At 46.4% G+C, this 15,540-nt stretch overlaps 6 annotated features.

The window, feature by feature from the left end:
• Positions 5,261–5,350: an enhancer, noted in NCBI's record as "active region_9638". NCBI's record gives its function as "activates an Ori minimal core promoter by ATAC-STARR-seq in GM12878 lymphoblastoid cells {active_cell/tissue: GM12878}" and the evidence as "EXISTENCE:reporter gene assay evidence [ECO:0000049][PMID:35858748]".
• Positions 7,700–7,789: an enhancer, noted in NCBI's record as "active region_9637". NCBI's record gives its function as "activates an Ori minimal core promoter by ATAC-STARR-seq in GM12878 lymphoblastoid cells {active_cell/tissue: GM12878}" and the evidence as "EXISTENCE:reporter gene assay evidence [ECO:0000049][PMID:35858748]".
• Positions 7,845–8,345: an enhancer, noted in NCBI's record as "H3K4me1 hESC enhancer chr15:68152060-68152560 (GRCh37/hg19 assembly coordinates)". NCBI's record gives its function as "activates a minimal SCP1, AML or CMV promoter by ChIP-STARR-seq in naive H9 embryonic stem cells {active_cell/tissue: H9 hESC(naive)}" and the evidence as "EXISTENCE:reporter gene assay evidence [ECO:0000049][PMID:30033119]".
• Positions 11,938–12,017: an enhancer, noted in NCBI's record as "active region_9636". NCBI's record gives its function as "activates an Ori minimal core promoter by ATAC-STARR-seq in GM12878 lymphoblastoid cells {active_cell/tissue: GM12878}" and the evidence as "EXISTENCE:reporter gene assay evidence [ECO:0000049][PMID:35858748]".
• Positions 14,115–14,670: an enhancer, noted in NCBI's record as "OCT4-H3K27ac hESC enhancer chr15:68145735-68146290 (GRCh37/hg19 assembly coordinates)". NCBI's record gives its function as "activates a minimal SCP1, AML or CMV promoter by ChIP-STARR-seq in primed H9 embryonic stem cells {active_cell/tissue: H9 hESC(primed)}" and the evidence as "EXISTENCE:reporter gene assay evidence [ECO:0000049][PMID:30033119]".
• Positions 14,671–15,228: an enhancer, noted in NCBI's record as "H3K27ac hESC enhancer chr15:68145177-68145734 (GRCh37/hg19 assembly coordinates)". NCBI's record gives its function as "activates a minimal SCP1, AML or CMV promoter by ChIP-STARR-seq in primed H9 embryonic stem cells {active_cell/tissue: H9 hESC(primed)}" and the evidence as "EXISTENCE:reporter gene assay evidence [ECO:0000049][PMID:30033119]".

The following is a 15,540-nucleotide window of genomic DNA, read 5'->3' as shown; positions in this document are numbered from 1 at the left end:
ACTTTGTCGTTGCTGTTGTGAATAGATGTTGTTTGTGGTGAAGACAAATGTTAAGGATTTATTTTTGGTCAATCTTCTATCTACTAAATGACTGAATTATCTTAATTTTAAAAGTCTATGCTGATTCTCTTTGCTTTTCAAGACAAATGAAAATATCTTCACATAGTGACAATTTTATTTCTTCTCATCCTGTATGTCTTACATTTTTCTTCATTCATAGCTTTGTCTGGAACTTCTATTATTATATAGTAAATGATAGCAGTACAGTTGGATGCCTTATTTTGTTCCAGATGTTAAAGTGAATGCTCCTAGTTTCTTCATTAAGTGTAGTGTTTGCTTTAAGTTTTTGCTATATAACCAGTTTTTTCTGAGACAGGGTCGTGCTGTGTCTCCCAGGCTGGAGTGAAGTGGTGTAATCATGGCTCACTGCAGCCTCGACCTCTGAGGCTCAAGCCATCCTCCCACCTCAGCCTCCCAAGTAGTTAGGACTATAGGCATGTGCCACCACCCCTGGCTAATTATTGTATTTTTGGTAGAAATGGGGTCTCACTATGTTGTCCAAGCTAGTCTCGAACTCCTGGGCTCAAGCAATCCTCCTGCCTTGGCCTCCCACAGTGCTGGGACTACAAGTGTTAGCCACTGCACCTGGCCCTATATAACCTTTATCAAATTAAACACACCTTTCCTATTTCCAGTTTGCTAAGTTTTTTTTTTTTTTCATTTTCATAAGTTCAAGGAAGTCATATGCTGAGTTATTCATAAATAAAAAATAGGTGAAAAACTTTATCAATATGCTGCTTTTTCTTCACCATTTGAGATACTCATGTGATTTTTTTCATGTGATTTTTGTCCTTTATTAAAGTGGGGTGATTTTCAATGTTGAGCTGGAATTCCTGGGATAAACCTACTTTCAAAAAACATATAACTAGATTAGTTGCTATTTTATTTAAGATTCTTTTTTTTTTTTTAACAGAGTCTCGCTCTGTTGCCCAGGCTGGAGTGCAATGGAGCAATCTCGGCTCACTACAACCTCTGCCTCCCAGGCTCAAGCGTTTCTCCTGCCTCAGCCTCCTAAGTAGCTAATATTACAGGTGCATGCCACCATGCCCAGCTAATTTTTTGTATTTTTAGTAGAGACGGGGTTTCACCATGTTGGCCAGGCTGGTCTTGAACTCCCGACCTCAAGTGATCTGCCTGCCTTGGCCTCCCAGAGTGCTGGGATTATAGGTGTAAGCCACCGTGTCTGGCCAGGATTTTTATACATGCATTCATAGGTGAAATGAACTTAATACATTTATTTATTGCTTTGTCCTTACTGATTTTGGAATCAAGATTATATTGGTTTCATAAAATGATCTGGGCAACTTTGGTCTTTTCTAACTTTCTGGAACAACTTATATAAGATAGAAATTAACTGATCCTTGAAAGTTCGGTACAACTCCAGAAACCCACAAGTTTTTCATTACCATGAATCCCTCCAGCTCCCCAAAAATAGTTTTCTACTGTTGACCACATTTTGAAAGATTTGGTTTAAATTAATATGTATGACTTTTTCTTTCCCCAGGTGACTGCGTGCTGTAGAGAAAGTACCCACAGCTCTGCAGAATGGTGCCATGACAAACTCAAAGTCATCACCCTCAACTGGACAGTCAACTCTTTTATTGTCCTCAAGTTAAAGGGTCGCACCTCTCTCCTCAAGTCCCCTTCTCAGGCTCACCTATTACCTTTGGATAGATGACCCAACCTCCTACTTGACTGAGAAAAGGTAGCCACTAGGGACTAGCCTCTTGAATCCACCTACCTCCTTACAATGATTCTGTCTACACCCAATCATACCTCTTTCCATCAGTCTCCAAACACAAGGTGTCCCTTCTTAAATCCAAGACAATCTCTGTAAACCTGCTCCAAATCCCCTCCCTTTCTCCCATGGACTTTGCCTGTTTTGACATCCCCTCTCTGTCCCGAAGTTTAAACTCTACCTCGCTATGGGGCTTGGGGGGCTCATTTTCCTCGGTTCAGCAACAGACTCAAATCTCACCCATCCCAAAATAAAATCCCTCCTTTGTGTGCTGTGGGGCAGACATTCTCACGCACTGCAGGTGGGAATGTAAATTGGCAAGATCTTTCTGGGAAGCAATTTGGTAACCTGAGTCAAAAGCCTGAAAAATATTTGCACCCTTTGTCCCAGTAATCCTACCTCTAAAAAATTCATCTAAGGAAATAATCAGAAATGCTGACAAAGGTAGATGTTTAAAGATGTTAATCTCTCTGTTATTTTAACAGCAAAAATTGGAAACAATCTAAAGGCTTAACAATAGGGGATAACTTAAATAAATTGTACTTAAATGTAATAAAATACTGTACTATCACTAAAAATACAATTTTAAAAAGCATAATTGAATGGGAAACTGTTCATGAAGCAATGTTGGCTGTGAAGACGGCAGCACAGAAACAGTAGATACAGTCTGGTGCTGATTTTGTTACATATAAAAATAGCTAACACTTCTGGAATGTTAACTATTATATACGTTCTCTCACTCAATCCTCACAACATTCCTGTACAGTTAATACCGTTATTCACATTTTGTAGAGAAAGAAACCAACCAGAAAGAAAAATACCAATATTTGGCAGGGGGTACTGATGAATTTTATTTTCTTCATTCTCTTTATTTTCCCATTTTTATTTATTTTTATTTTTTATTTTGTAGAGATGGAGTTTTGACATGTTGCCCAGGCTGGTTTCAAACTCCCGGGCTCAAGGGATCCTCCCACCTCGGCCTCCGAAAGTGCTAGGATTACAGGCATGAGCCACTGCATCCAGCCTGTATTTTCCAATTATTTAAAGAGGAATTATTATTATTATCATTTTGTCAAACAGAAGTCCTGAATCATTGCTCCTCTTTCTGATTTATATATGCTAGTAGTGAATATTTTGGACAATACAGAGAAAATGCAATTTCCATTACTGCTACTCCAACTGCCACAGACAGCCACTGTGGACAGTTTGGCTTTTGTATTTCTATTTGCCTCTAAAATGTGTATGTAGACATATGCACTTTAAAAAGCAAACACGCCGGGCGCAGTGGCTCACACCTGTAATCCCAGCACTTTGGAAGGCCGAGGTGGTGGATCGCTTGAGGCTGGGAGTTCGAGAGCAGCCTGGCCAACATGGTGAAACCTCCTCTCTACTAAAAATACAAAAATTAGCCAGGCGTGGTGGTGTGCGCCTGTAATCCCAGCTACTCAGGAGGCTGAGGCAAGAGAATCACTTGAACCTGGGAGGCGGACGTTGCGGTGAGCCAAGATCGCATCACTGCACTCCAGCCTGAGCAACAGAGTGAGACTGTGTCTCAAACAAAAACAAAACAAAAACAACAAAAAAAGATCATGGAAACGTGGCTGTACATAGAACTCTACAATTTGGGCCGGGTGCGGTGGCTCACGCCTGTAATCCCAGCACTTTGGGAGGCCGAAGCGGGTGGATCACGAGGTCAGGAGTCCGAGACCAGCCTGATCAACATGGTGAAACCCCGTCTCGACTAAAAATACAAAAGTTAGCCAGGCGTGGTGGCGGGCGCCTGTAGTCCCAGCTACTCGGGAGGCTGAGGCAAGAGAATTGCTTGAACCCGGGAGGTGGAGGTTGCAGTGACACAAGATCGCGCCACTGCACTCCAGCCTGGGTGACAGAGCGAGACTCCGTGTCAATAAATAAATACATACATAAATAACAACAACAACAAAAAAGAACTCTACAATTTGAGTCCAAAAGTGGCTGCATTTTGATGTCCAGGGGTCGCCGTCCTGCGGGAAGAGGATGTGCAGCGCCCGTTTCTGCTGAAGGGACCAGTTTACTTACGCCAGGCAGACAGCCATCTCTGTGCTGCCCCACCCCAAGAGCTCCAAGTCTGGGCCTAGGAGAACTGAGTTCCTGTCCTAATTCTGCCATTTACTAGCTCTCCTAATCAACTTTTTTCTTTGGGAGCCCGTTTGCCCACTTTCAGACGGGGCAACAGTTCTTGTCTTGCCCACTTTAAGGGAACACTGTGACGTTCCAAGGGGCTGACGGGTGTGACTGGTTAAATCCCGCACCCAAGACAGTGGTCTTGGGACTCCTGTCCCTCCTCCCCATTTCCCGCTGCCTCAGGAATCCTTCGACCTGGCTTAAGGAGAAGAGAGGCCAGCGGCCGCGGGAGGGGCAGGGACCTTGTGCCCTGCACAGCACTAGAGACCAGAAGCTCCAGGCTGGCTTTCCAGCCTTCCCGCCCACTCAAGAGTCCTGCGGCGCGCCCTGCATAGTGGAAGGACTCGCCGCGTGCGGACGCGTAAGGGAGGCCCCTGGAGTGCAGCGGTGGAAGAGGGGAAACGCCGGGACTCTGGAAAGCAGGCTGCGTGGCGTCTACTTCCAACGCACGTTTTAAAGGCACTGCGGGCGCGAGCCGGCGCAGAGGCTGGGGCCCTCCTCCGCGGAGCCGCCGCCCTCTGGTGGCGGCGTGCGAAAGTTACAGCAGTTCGCTCTGCCCCGGCTCCCCGCGCAGGGGTTGAGGGACTGGGTTGCCACTCACACATATTCTAAGCCAGGGGCCCTTAGGGAGCTCCCAATTGAGACCTGAAACCGGCCCGAAGGGGAAGCCTGACATGGGGAAGCCAGGACTGGGACCTGGGACTCCGGCTGCGCCCCCGATTGACGCTTACAATAGCACAATTATGGTCATTGTGAACGCCAAAAGCCCCAGACAGTTAAGATTTCATTCAGGCCATTGCAATAGGGAGAACGTTCATTAATGAGGAGCATCTCAAAGGGGACTGGGGTTTTAGAGAGGCAGGTAAACAATGGAGTCATCAGCGAATCTTAGGGAATAGTAAGAAAGGATGGAGATCCGTATTTCCTTGGGATGCGAGCTTAAGGTGGTCCTTTGTGGCTTAGCTCTTTCCTTGGAACTTAAAGAGGTTGGAGAACTTTATCGTCGCTGCCTTCTGGAGGCACAGGGCTCAGATAAAGGTCAACATTGTCATAGTAAATGGTGCATGATGCAGGACAGCCATTTAAGAGGTGAGGGAAGTGAGACCCAGACCACCCAACTGAAATTTTGTGGCTGAAGCAAGATTCCAACCTGCAGACACCAAGACAGCAAAAAGTCCCCAACATGAAGTGCAGAGTTCCCTTGGAGAGTAAGATCAGAAGCTCAGGATGAGTTCCGCCAACAGCGGAAATGACGTCCTCCAAGACATGGAATCAACCTACGTCTCCATCAACAGATGATTGGATAAATAAAATATGATCTGTATACCCAATGGAATCGTGTTCAGACACAAAAATGAATGAAATTGTGTCTTCTGCAGCAGCATGGATGGAACTGGAGGTTGTTAGGTGAAAAAAGTCAGACACAGAAAGACAAATACTCATGTTCTCACTCATAAGTGGGAACTAAATAATGTATACATATGGGTGTGAGTATGAATGATAGTGGACGCAGAGAAGGGGATGTGGGGATGGATGATGAGAATTCACTTAATGGGTACAATGTATGTTATTTGGGTGATGGATACCCTGAAAGCCTGACATCACCACTACGAATTCTGTGCATGTAACAAAATTATACTTGTATCCCATAAATTTATACCAATCCAAAAATAAATAAATAGAAAGAAATTACCTGCTCCACAGCTTCTGGTTTGATAGAACGTATTGGAGAAGCATTGGGATTACCCAGATTACCCCAGGTATAGGGGAAGGGGGCTATGAAGTTACAGTGAAGACCCCCTAGTCAAGCCTCAGGAAGGGCCAGAAACAAGGCAGGTCTGGGATTCACCTGCTGTGTCTGTCTCTCTTTCAGCCAGTCAGTCGGTCAATCTCTGTCTCCAGGATACCCACTGTTATCTCTTCCACCAATCTCCATTCCCCCAACTTCAACTGACATCTGGCCTCCTACAACTACCCTGGTCCCTGAATCTACTCAACCTTCCAGTCACAGAGTTCACTTTTTTTTTTTTTTTTTTTTGAGATAGAGTCTCACTCTGTTCCCCAGGCTGGAGTGCAGTGGCACAATCTCGGCTCACTGCAACCTCCACCTCCCGGGTTCAAGCAATTCTCCTGCCTCAGTCTCCCGAGTAGCTGGGACTACAGGCACATGCCTCCACACCTTGCTGGTTTTTGTATTTTTAGTAAAGATAGGTTTTCACCATATTGGCCAGGCTGGTCTTGAACTCCTGACCTCAAGTGATCCACCTGCCTCGGCCTCCCAAAGTGCTGAGATTACAGGTGTGAGCTACCACACCCAGCCACAGAGCCCACTTGTAACTGCAGCTTCCTACTGTATCTTTTAAGATCCCTCTCGAACAAGTTCATGCCTTCATGCCAGGGCATGAGTCAGCGGCTGCAGCCAGCCTATTCTCTCCCTGGCCTCTGGGTCCTGGGTTGTGTGGGGTGGGATGAGTGGGCTTTCATAATCTGCTTTTCACAGGGGATAGGGGCAGGACAGCTGCCCCTAGAAGCGTCAGGAGCGGCTGCATCAAGGCAGTCCAAGGCTAAATTTTGGAAGGCAAGACTAGACATGTCATCATTTCCAAGCACTTAAGCCCACTCATGGGTCCTGAGCTTCTTCTTCAGGAGGGTGTAGACTGAAGAGGGTGATCTGAATGGCTAGAGAAGAAGCAGCTAGAGTGACAAGCCTGCATAGCAGCCCCAGAAGTGTCCCTGGCCTGGCCCATGGACCCAGTTGTCCAGCCTCCTTGTCAACCATCTTCTTTCTCAGCATACGTGTTCATGCCCTAGGCCAACAGCAGGCAGACTACAGGCTGCAAAGCTAAATCTGGTCCCTCACCACTGGTTTCTGCTTGGTCTGAGAGCTAAGAATGGCTTTAATGTTCTTAAAAAAGTTGAAAGAAGAGTAATATATTGGCCAGGCATTGTGGCCCACGCCTGTAATCCTAGCACTTTGGGAGGCCGAGGCGGGTGGATCACCTGAGGTCAGTAGTTCCAGACCAGCCTGGCCAACATGGCAAAACCCTGTCTCTACTAAAAATACAAAAATTAGCTAGGTGTGGTGGTGTGTGCCTGTCATTCCAGCTATTCAGGAGGCTGAGGCAGGAGAATCACTTGAACTCAGGAGGCAGAGGTTGCAGTAAGCTGAGATTGCGCCACTGCACTCCAGCCTGGGCAACAGAGCAAGACTCCGTCTCAAAAAAGAAAAAAGAGAGAGTAATACATCAGGACACATGAAAACTGTATGAAATTCAAATTTCAATGTTTATAAGTAAAGTTTTATTGGAACACAGCTATGCTCATGTATTTATGTGCTGTCTGTGGCTGTTTTCACACTGCAGTGGTAGAGTTGAATGGTTTCAACAGAGACTGCAAAGTCTACAATATTCACTGTCTGGACCTTAACAGAAACAGTTTTTGGACCCTTGGGCAGTCCTTGCTTGATGCCTCTAGCTATAGATCCTTGCTGGGCCTGGGGCCTGCTCCAAGAGGCCAGTTGTCAATCCAGATGGCTTTTCTCCAGGGAAAGGAGACACCGGCAGTAATGATGTGAAAGGCTGACCCACTGAGCCGTGACACTTCTCACGGGAAATGAGTCAGTTGGCTTCCTGATCTATAGGTGAGCCTCTCTTAGTTTAAATGTCCCTCTCCTGAGTCTGACCAACTCAGGGGCTGTGTCAGCAAGGATCTTTGGTTACAGGTGACAGAAACCCAATTTGGACAATCTAAAGGAAACAAGAAATGTGTTAAGAAGGCCCTGGCATGTGTCCCGGGACCCATGCTGAGCATGCAGCGGGACCTCAGAGGTGTGTTGAGTCCTTGCTCAGACAGCCTGGTCTGCCCACTCTCACGGTGCCCCCTGCACACCCACTGCTAAGGCCTTCTGCAGGCTGCACCTCTCACCGTCAGGCCCTGGAGAGAGACCATCTGACCCATGTTCAAACATCTTGGAAAAAGGAGGCTCTGGTTGGCATGTTCAGGTACCCACCCCTAGCAGTGACCTGTGCCCACCTTCCCACTGAACAAAACGACTTCTGGTAACCAGGGCAGCGGCAGAAGCGGGGACAGTGGAGGCAGGTGAGCCGCAGAGCTGAAATGAGTGTGCTGATGGTGTCTCTCAGGGGTTTCTTTCCCCTCTGTGCTCAAGCCCTTCTGCCCTCAATGCCCTTTTCCCAACCCTCACCCCTTTACCAGCCTGGCTCTTCCTGTCCTTTAAGACTCAAGCAGGTTGCCGCCACCTCCTGGAAGCACCTCCTCACCCTCCCTACCCCTGCCAAGGCCCCTCCTTTGGCCGACTCCCGTCCCTGGCTGTTCACCCTGGCTCCTGAGTTACTTGAAGACTCAGATCACGTTTTATCCTCAGGGCCTGGAACACAGAGGAGGCTCAGTGAATGTTTCACGGATGAATTGATTCTGAGGGCTTGGATCCAGTAGTGGGGACAATTTCTTCAGGAGGAGATCCCAGGACTTCCTCTCCAACATTTCTCACATGACACACAGTAGCAGGGGGGTTAAGAGCCCATGTCTCAGTCTGGGTTCCACCACATACTAGTTGGGCAAGTCACTTAAGTTTCCTAACCTTAGTTTCCTCATCTGTAAAATGGGCATACCATTTTTTTTTTTTTTTTTTGAGACAGGGTCTCACTCTGTCACCCAGGCTGGAGTGCAGTGGTGGGATCACAGCTCACATCAATCTTGACCTCCTGGGCTCAAAGGATCCTCCTGCCTCAGGCTCCCCAGCAGCTGCAATTACACGAGTGCATGCCACCATGCCCAGTTAATTTTTTTTATTTTTTGTAGAGACAAGGTCTGACCAGGTTGCCAGGCTGGTCTCAAGCAATCCTCCCATCCCAGCCTCCCAAAGTCCTGGGATTATAGGCGTGAGCCACCGCACCTAGCCAATGGAAATACCATCTACCAGTATCTACTTCAAAGGGCTGTTGTAAGGGTTAAATGAGATACTGCTTGACACAATTCCTGGGACATTACAAGTACTGATTTATTATTATTATTACTATTAATCATCATATGTTCCCTCACTTTCCAGCAGCACTCCCACTGACCCCAGTGACATGCAGAGACCAGGAAGCCCCTCCCAGCCCTTCAAGAACCATAAAACAATTACTCCCCATCTCTACTAAAAATACAAAAAAAATTAGCCGGGCGTGGTGGCAGGTGCCTGTGGTCCCAGCTACCTGGGAGGCTGAGTCAGGAGAATGGTGTGAACCCAGGAGGCAGAGGTTGCAGTGAGCCAAGGTCACGCCACTGCACTCCAGCCTGGGTGACAGAGTGAGACTCTGTCTCAAAAAAAAAAAAAAAAAAATTACTAATCCCTCAATAAAACAGAGGCTTAGAGTTTAGCTTCACTGGATTTCTCTACCAAGGTAGCATCAGCCTGTTTTTAAATTTTTGGAAAATATAATAAAGAAAAATGTTAAACAATTCAACACATTTTATCTTTTCGAGTGTTTTTTTCTTAATATTAAATGTAGTTCTAACTACACTATATCTGCATATGTACATTCTACTGTCCATCAGTATCATTAAATCATGGCTGTTACATTGTCATAGATAGTGTCGAATACATCGTTTCTCAACTTTTCAGGAAAGGAATGTTAAAGGATAATTTCAAAAAAGATTATGATTCTCATGCAGATTTAAAATATACATGTGTTCTGGATTTTATTTAACTCATTATTAATGAGGGACCCAGTAGGAGCCTACAACCAGTTCAAAAGAGAATGCAAAGAACAGACACACATATAGATCAGGAAGATTGAAATGCATATGCAAATGGAGACAAAACTGGCTTCTTCCACAGTGCAGGAGGCAAGTGCATTGAGCATCCACTGGCTTCAAGGGATCCTCTCACCTTGCCCTCCCAAAGTGCTGGGATTACAGGCTTGAACCACCATGGCTGGCCTTGTGATTTTTTTTTTTTTTGAGACAGAGTCTCACTCTGTTGCCTAGGCTGAAGTGCAGTGATGTGATCTCGGCTCACTGCAACCTCCACCTGCTGGGTTCAAGCAGTTCTCCTGCCTCAACCTTCCCAGTAGCTAGGACTACAGGCATGTGCCATTCCTACACTCCTCCCGCCCCACCCCCTAGCTAATTTTTATATTTTTAGTAGAGACTGACCTCAGGTGATCTACTTGCCTCGGCCTCCCAAGTGCTGGGATTCCAGGGGTGAGCTACCGCACCTGGCTATGAATTTTAAAATAAGAAAGAAGATGGCCGTTTTACATACTGCACATTGAGACTCATAGCATGCAATCTTCCTGAAAGTTACTCAAAGACACTCTGCAACTGCCTGAAACATAAGTTGAAAATCAAGAATTTAAGGAAATACAGTATGGCTGATGGTCTTTTTTCAAAGATGACCATATCAGCATATACATATGCATGTACATGTGTATACATGCACACACGTGTGTACATATGTGGGCACCCGCACATGTTCATCTTACAAAGTGATCTTGACACACTTCCATGGAAGTTGGGCAGAACTTTGTACCTGTCCCAACCACCAGGATGCAGCAGAAGTGACACTGAATGATTTCTGAGGCTAGGTCATAAAAGGCAATGGCTTCCACCTGGCTCGCTCTCTCTAGATGCTTGCCTTTGGAACTCAGCCACTATGTTGTGAGGGAGACCAGGCACACCAGAGGCCATGTGTGGGTGTTCTGGTCAATAGCCCCAGCGAGGCCTCCAGCTGAGTGACAGCCAGCACCAACTTCAGGTAAGCAAGCCTTCAGATGATTCTAGACAAGCTAGAGGCTCAACTTTGGAGTTTTACTGCGAGGCCTCAGACATTTCACATCTCCTTTGGAGGAGAGATAAGCCATCCCTGTTATACCTTGTCTAAACTGTAATGCACAGAAAGAGCAAGAGGTAATAAATGATTATTGTTTTAAGCATTAAGCTTTAGGATAATTAATTTTAATTTTTATTTTATGTTTTTTGAGACAGTCTCACTCTGTGACCCAGGCTAGAGTGCAGTGGTGTGGTCTCGGCTCACTACAACCTCTGCCTCCCAGGTTCAAGCAATTCTCCTGTTTCAGCCTCCCAAGTAGCTGGGATTACAGGCATGTGCCACCACACCCAGCTAATTTTTGTATTTTTAGTAGAGACAGGGTTTCACCATGTTGGCCAGGCTGGTCTTGAACTCCTGATCTCAGGTGATCCACTTGCCTCGGGCTGCCAAGGTGCTAAGATTACAGGCATGAGCTGCTGCACCTGGCCTATTTTATTTTTTGAAACAGTCTCTCTCTGTCACCCAGGCTGGAGTGCAGTGGCGCAATCTTGGCTCATTGCAACCTCTGCTTTCCAGGTTCAAGCAATTCTCCTGCCTCAGCCTCCCAAGTAGCTGGGACTACAGGCACACACCACCTTGCCTGGCTAATTTTTGTGTTTTTAGTAGAGACGAGGTTTCGCCATATTGGCCAGGCTGGTCTCCAACTCCTGGCCTCAAGTGATTGGCCTTCCTCGGCCTCTTCTAAAGTGCTGGGATTACAGGCACGAGCCATTGCACCTGGCCACTGTTTGGGGCTAATTTGTTTTACAGCCATAGTAAGTGGAGCCTGCAGGAAATGTGGAAACCATTTAAACACAGAGTATCAAATAAATAATGATAAACATGGCTAAAATTTGGATCCCAAATTTAAAACCAATTTTTTGTAAAAAGAAGACCTATATCATTTTAAAAAAGAGAGGTGTGATAACCTAGGCCTCTAATGAAGAGATATGGAAGGAGGGCCTGAAAAACTTCTCACTTTATATTGGAAGGGAGGCAAACATGGTAGATTTATTTTCAATCTGATAGAGAAACATGGTGTGTTAGGATGTTCTTGCATTGTGTAAAGAAACACCTGAGACTGGGTAATTTATAAAGAAAAGAGGTTTAAATGGCTCATGGTTCTACAGAGTGTACAGGAAGCCTGGTGCTAGGCATCTGTTTGGCTTCTGGGAAGGTCTCAGGAAACTTTTACTCCTGGGAGATGGCAAAGGGAGAGCTGCTGTTTCACATGGCAGAGCACGAGCAAGAGAGAGCGTGGGGGAGGTGCCACACTTTACAACAACCAGATCTCATGAGAACTCACTATCTCCGGGAAAGCATCAAGGGATTTACCCCCATGACTCAAACACCTCCCACCAGACCCCACCTCCAACATTGGGGATTACATCTCAACATGAGATTTGGAGGGGAAGTCCAAACTATACTACATGGGTTCAAAAAAGTTTTTAAAAATCTTCAAGGTGTTGGCAGAATTAAAACAATAGGCTATATAGCTATATACTTTTCAAATTACAGAAGATAAAAACAAATCATCAGCCAGGTACAATGGTGCACCTGTACTCCTAGCTACTCAGGAAGCTGAGACTGGAGAATCATTTGAGACCAGGAGTTCAAGTCCAGCCTGGCAACATAGCGAGACCATGACTCTAAAAAAATACATCATCGGCTGGGCACGGTGGCTCATGCCTGTAATCCCAGCACTTTGGGAGGCTGAGGCAGGTGGATCACAAGGTCAGGAGTTCAAGACCAGCCTGGCCAAGATGGTGAAACCCTGTCTCTACTAAAAATACAAAAATTGCAGGGCGCGGTGGCAGGCGCCTGTAATCCCAGCTACTTAGGAGGCTGAGGCAGGAGAATCACTTGAATCCAGGAGGCGGAGGTTGCAGTGAGCTGAGATCGCGCCACTGCACTCCAGCCTGGGCAACATAGCGAGATTCTGTCTTAAAAAAAAAAAAAAAAAAGGGCCAGGCGCGGTGGCTCACGCTTGTAATCCCAGCACTTTGGGAGGCCGAGGTGGGCGGATCATCAGGTCAGGAGTTCGAGACCACCCTGGCCAACACAGTGAAACCCTGTCTCTACTAAAAATACAAAAATTAGCTGGGCATGGTGGTGGGCGCCTGTAATCCCAGCTACTTGGGAGGCTAAGGCAGGAGAATCGCTTGAACCCGGGAGGTGGAGGTTGCAGTGAGCCGAGATTGTGCTACTGCACTCCAGCCTGAGCAACAGAGCTAGACTCCATCTCAAAAAAAAAATAAATAAATAAAAAATACATCATCATGCAATTTTGCTTATCATAGAAGGCAAAAACAAAAACAAACATGAAAAAGAGAAGGCATAAACCAAAATAAAAGAAATAAAACCAAACATGCCAACATAAAAATAAACGCATGATACTAAAAGCCAAAGACCTTCAAACTGGGTTAATACGATTTAAGTACTACAAGGTATCTATATTACTGTGTATCAGATATTTTGAAATAAAACCGCACTCTTTCCATCTGTAGGGTCCCTGCATTAGGCGAGCGTGCCTTTTAGGCCACCTCCTCATCAGTCCTGCCCTGCTCCCTGCTCAGAGGTACTGAGTGCCACAGTGTCCCCACAGACACAGGCAGAGACAGTCTAACGGAAGGGGTGAGGGTGGACAGAAGTGACTGCCTCAGAAAACCATACTTGAGTGTTAGGAGTGTGCTGCCCATTTGCTGGTGAGTGCAGCCCTGTACAGTGAATGAGGGCCTAAGCTTCTCCCTGCAAGCTTCCTGTCTGCAGGTTCTGGGCCACTTTAGAGGGCAAAGTATGCACAGGCCACCTACCATGTGACTTCCCCCAGCCCCAGTGGCAGGTTATTAGGGAAATTTCCATCTTGGACTCTGGCCAACAACTGACCACTAAGTTTTCTGAATGGTTCTCAGTTTTTGTCTTTTTCTGTGTCTCAAGTAGCTTTCGAATTTAAGTTGGAAGATGGCACATCAAGGAAGTTTGATCTGTGGTCATCTTAACTCTTGAAATCCTCTTATCTGTCCTTTGTAACAGAAGCTTTAAAGAAAAAAATGTGTCTATTAAGGCCAGGTGTGGTGGCTCACACCTATAATCCCAACACTTTGGGAGGCCAAAGTGGGAGGATCACTTGAGGCCAGGAGGTTGATGTTATAGTGTCGCCTAGGCGACAGAGCAAGAACTTGTCTCTATAAATAAATAAATAAATAAATAAGATTTAAAATTCAGGTGCTGTGCCAGGTGCTGGTGATACAGGAGACAGAAAGAAATTATTCAGGCAGATCGTGAGGGTAAGAGTCCTCGGCAGAAATTCCCTTTCAACAAAAAGCAGCCCAAAATCATTGCTTTTCTAACAAAGAGCAGCCTGAAAAATCGAGCTGCAAACAGATAAGCAAGCTGGAAGCTTGCACGGGCGAATGCCAGCACCTGTGCCAATAGAAAAGGGTTACCTGAGGGCCAGGTATGTTCAATATGGAGGCTTCAACTTCCCTTTTGTCACCATGTGTACAGTAAAGGAACAGGCAACATGGTGCCAGCCAGGTAGAAAGCTCATCTGCATAATAAAAGATTAGGGTGGGGGTGGCCAGACTTTTACACACTATGCAAATAGCATACCTAGTCCTAACCACTTTTTCATGCCTTATGCAAATGGCACACCTGGTCCAAGCACTCTTTCGTGCTCTATGTAAATCAGACGCTACCTTCTCAAGCTCATCTATAAAACCCTGCATTTCACTGTGGACTGGAAACCTGCTCAGGACCCCTCTCCTTGTAGGAGAAAGGTTTTCTCTTTCTTTCGCCTTTTTTTTTTTTTTTTTTTGAGATGGAGTCTCACTTTGTCACCAGACTGAAGTGCAGTCGTGTGATCTCAGCTCACTACAACCTCCACCTCCCGTGTTCAAGTGATTCTCCTGCCTCAGCCTGTAGCTGGCACTACAGTCGTGCACCACCACACCCAGCTAATTTTTGTATTTTTAGTAGAGACGGGATTTCATCATGTTGGCCAGGATGGTTTCGATCTTTTTGACTTCGTGATCCACCCACCTTGGCTTCCCAAAGTGCTAGGATTACAAGTGTGAGCCACCATGCCTGGCCTCCTTCTATTAAACCTCCGCTCTCAACCTCACTCCTTGTGTGTCCATGTCCTTGATTTCCCTGGCATGAGACAATGAACCTCAGGTATCCCCCCAGGCGAATGGTGCCACTTCACTGGGAGTACAGCAATGAATAAAGTCTGGCCCCTCACAGCTGGGTTCATGGTCTGGGAGGTGGCAGGGGAAGCAAACAAGTAAACAACTAACTCTAAACAAGGCAGAAGAAAATCAGCACTAAATATAGGCATCTGAGTGGGAAGAACAGGGAGGCGGGAGCAATTAATGAGGGTGAAGGAGTGAGAGAAACCTTTATGGCGGGTTTTCAGGGCCTCACTCTAAGCCCACAACAGTAAATTATCAATGGAGGCAACAGTCCATGCACCCAAAGTGCTGTAAGCACTTGGAGCCTGGGTCACCCAGGGGCAGCTCGGCCCCTCTGAGGGAAAGGGACCCTCCCCTGGGGCAGGGAGACTGTGACCCTTGGCAAGGGTGTGGGGAGGGGACAGATGATGGGCCAGATTGGCCCCAGGGGGTGAAATGTTGCTACTGATCAGAGGCGTCAGTTGTAGGCACTTTCTCAGTCCCAGGTTGGAGGGGGGAAGGAAAAAGATAAGGGGCTGCCAGCTCCAGGAAATGAGGGTGAGGTTCTCAGCTAAAAGGGGAGGAGAGAACGA

Source organism: Homo sapiens, chromosome 15 (assembly GCF_000001405.40).
Source record: "Homo sapiens chromosome 15, GRCh38.p14 Primary Assembly".
NCBI classification, from domain to species: Eukaryota; Metazoa; Chordata; class Mammalia; order Primates; family Hominidae; genus Homo; species Homo sapiens.
Note: the sequence above shows the minus strand (reverse complement) of the source record. Positions and strands in the feature narration are given on the sequence as shown.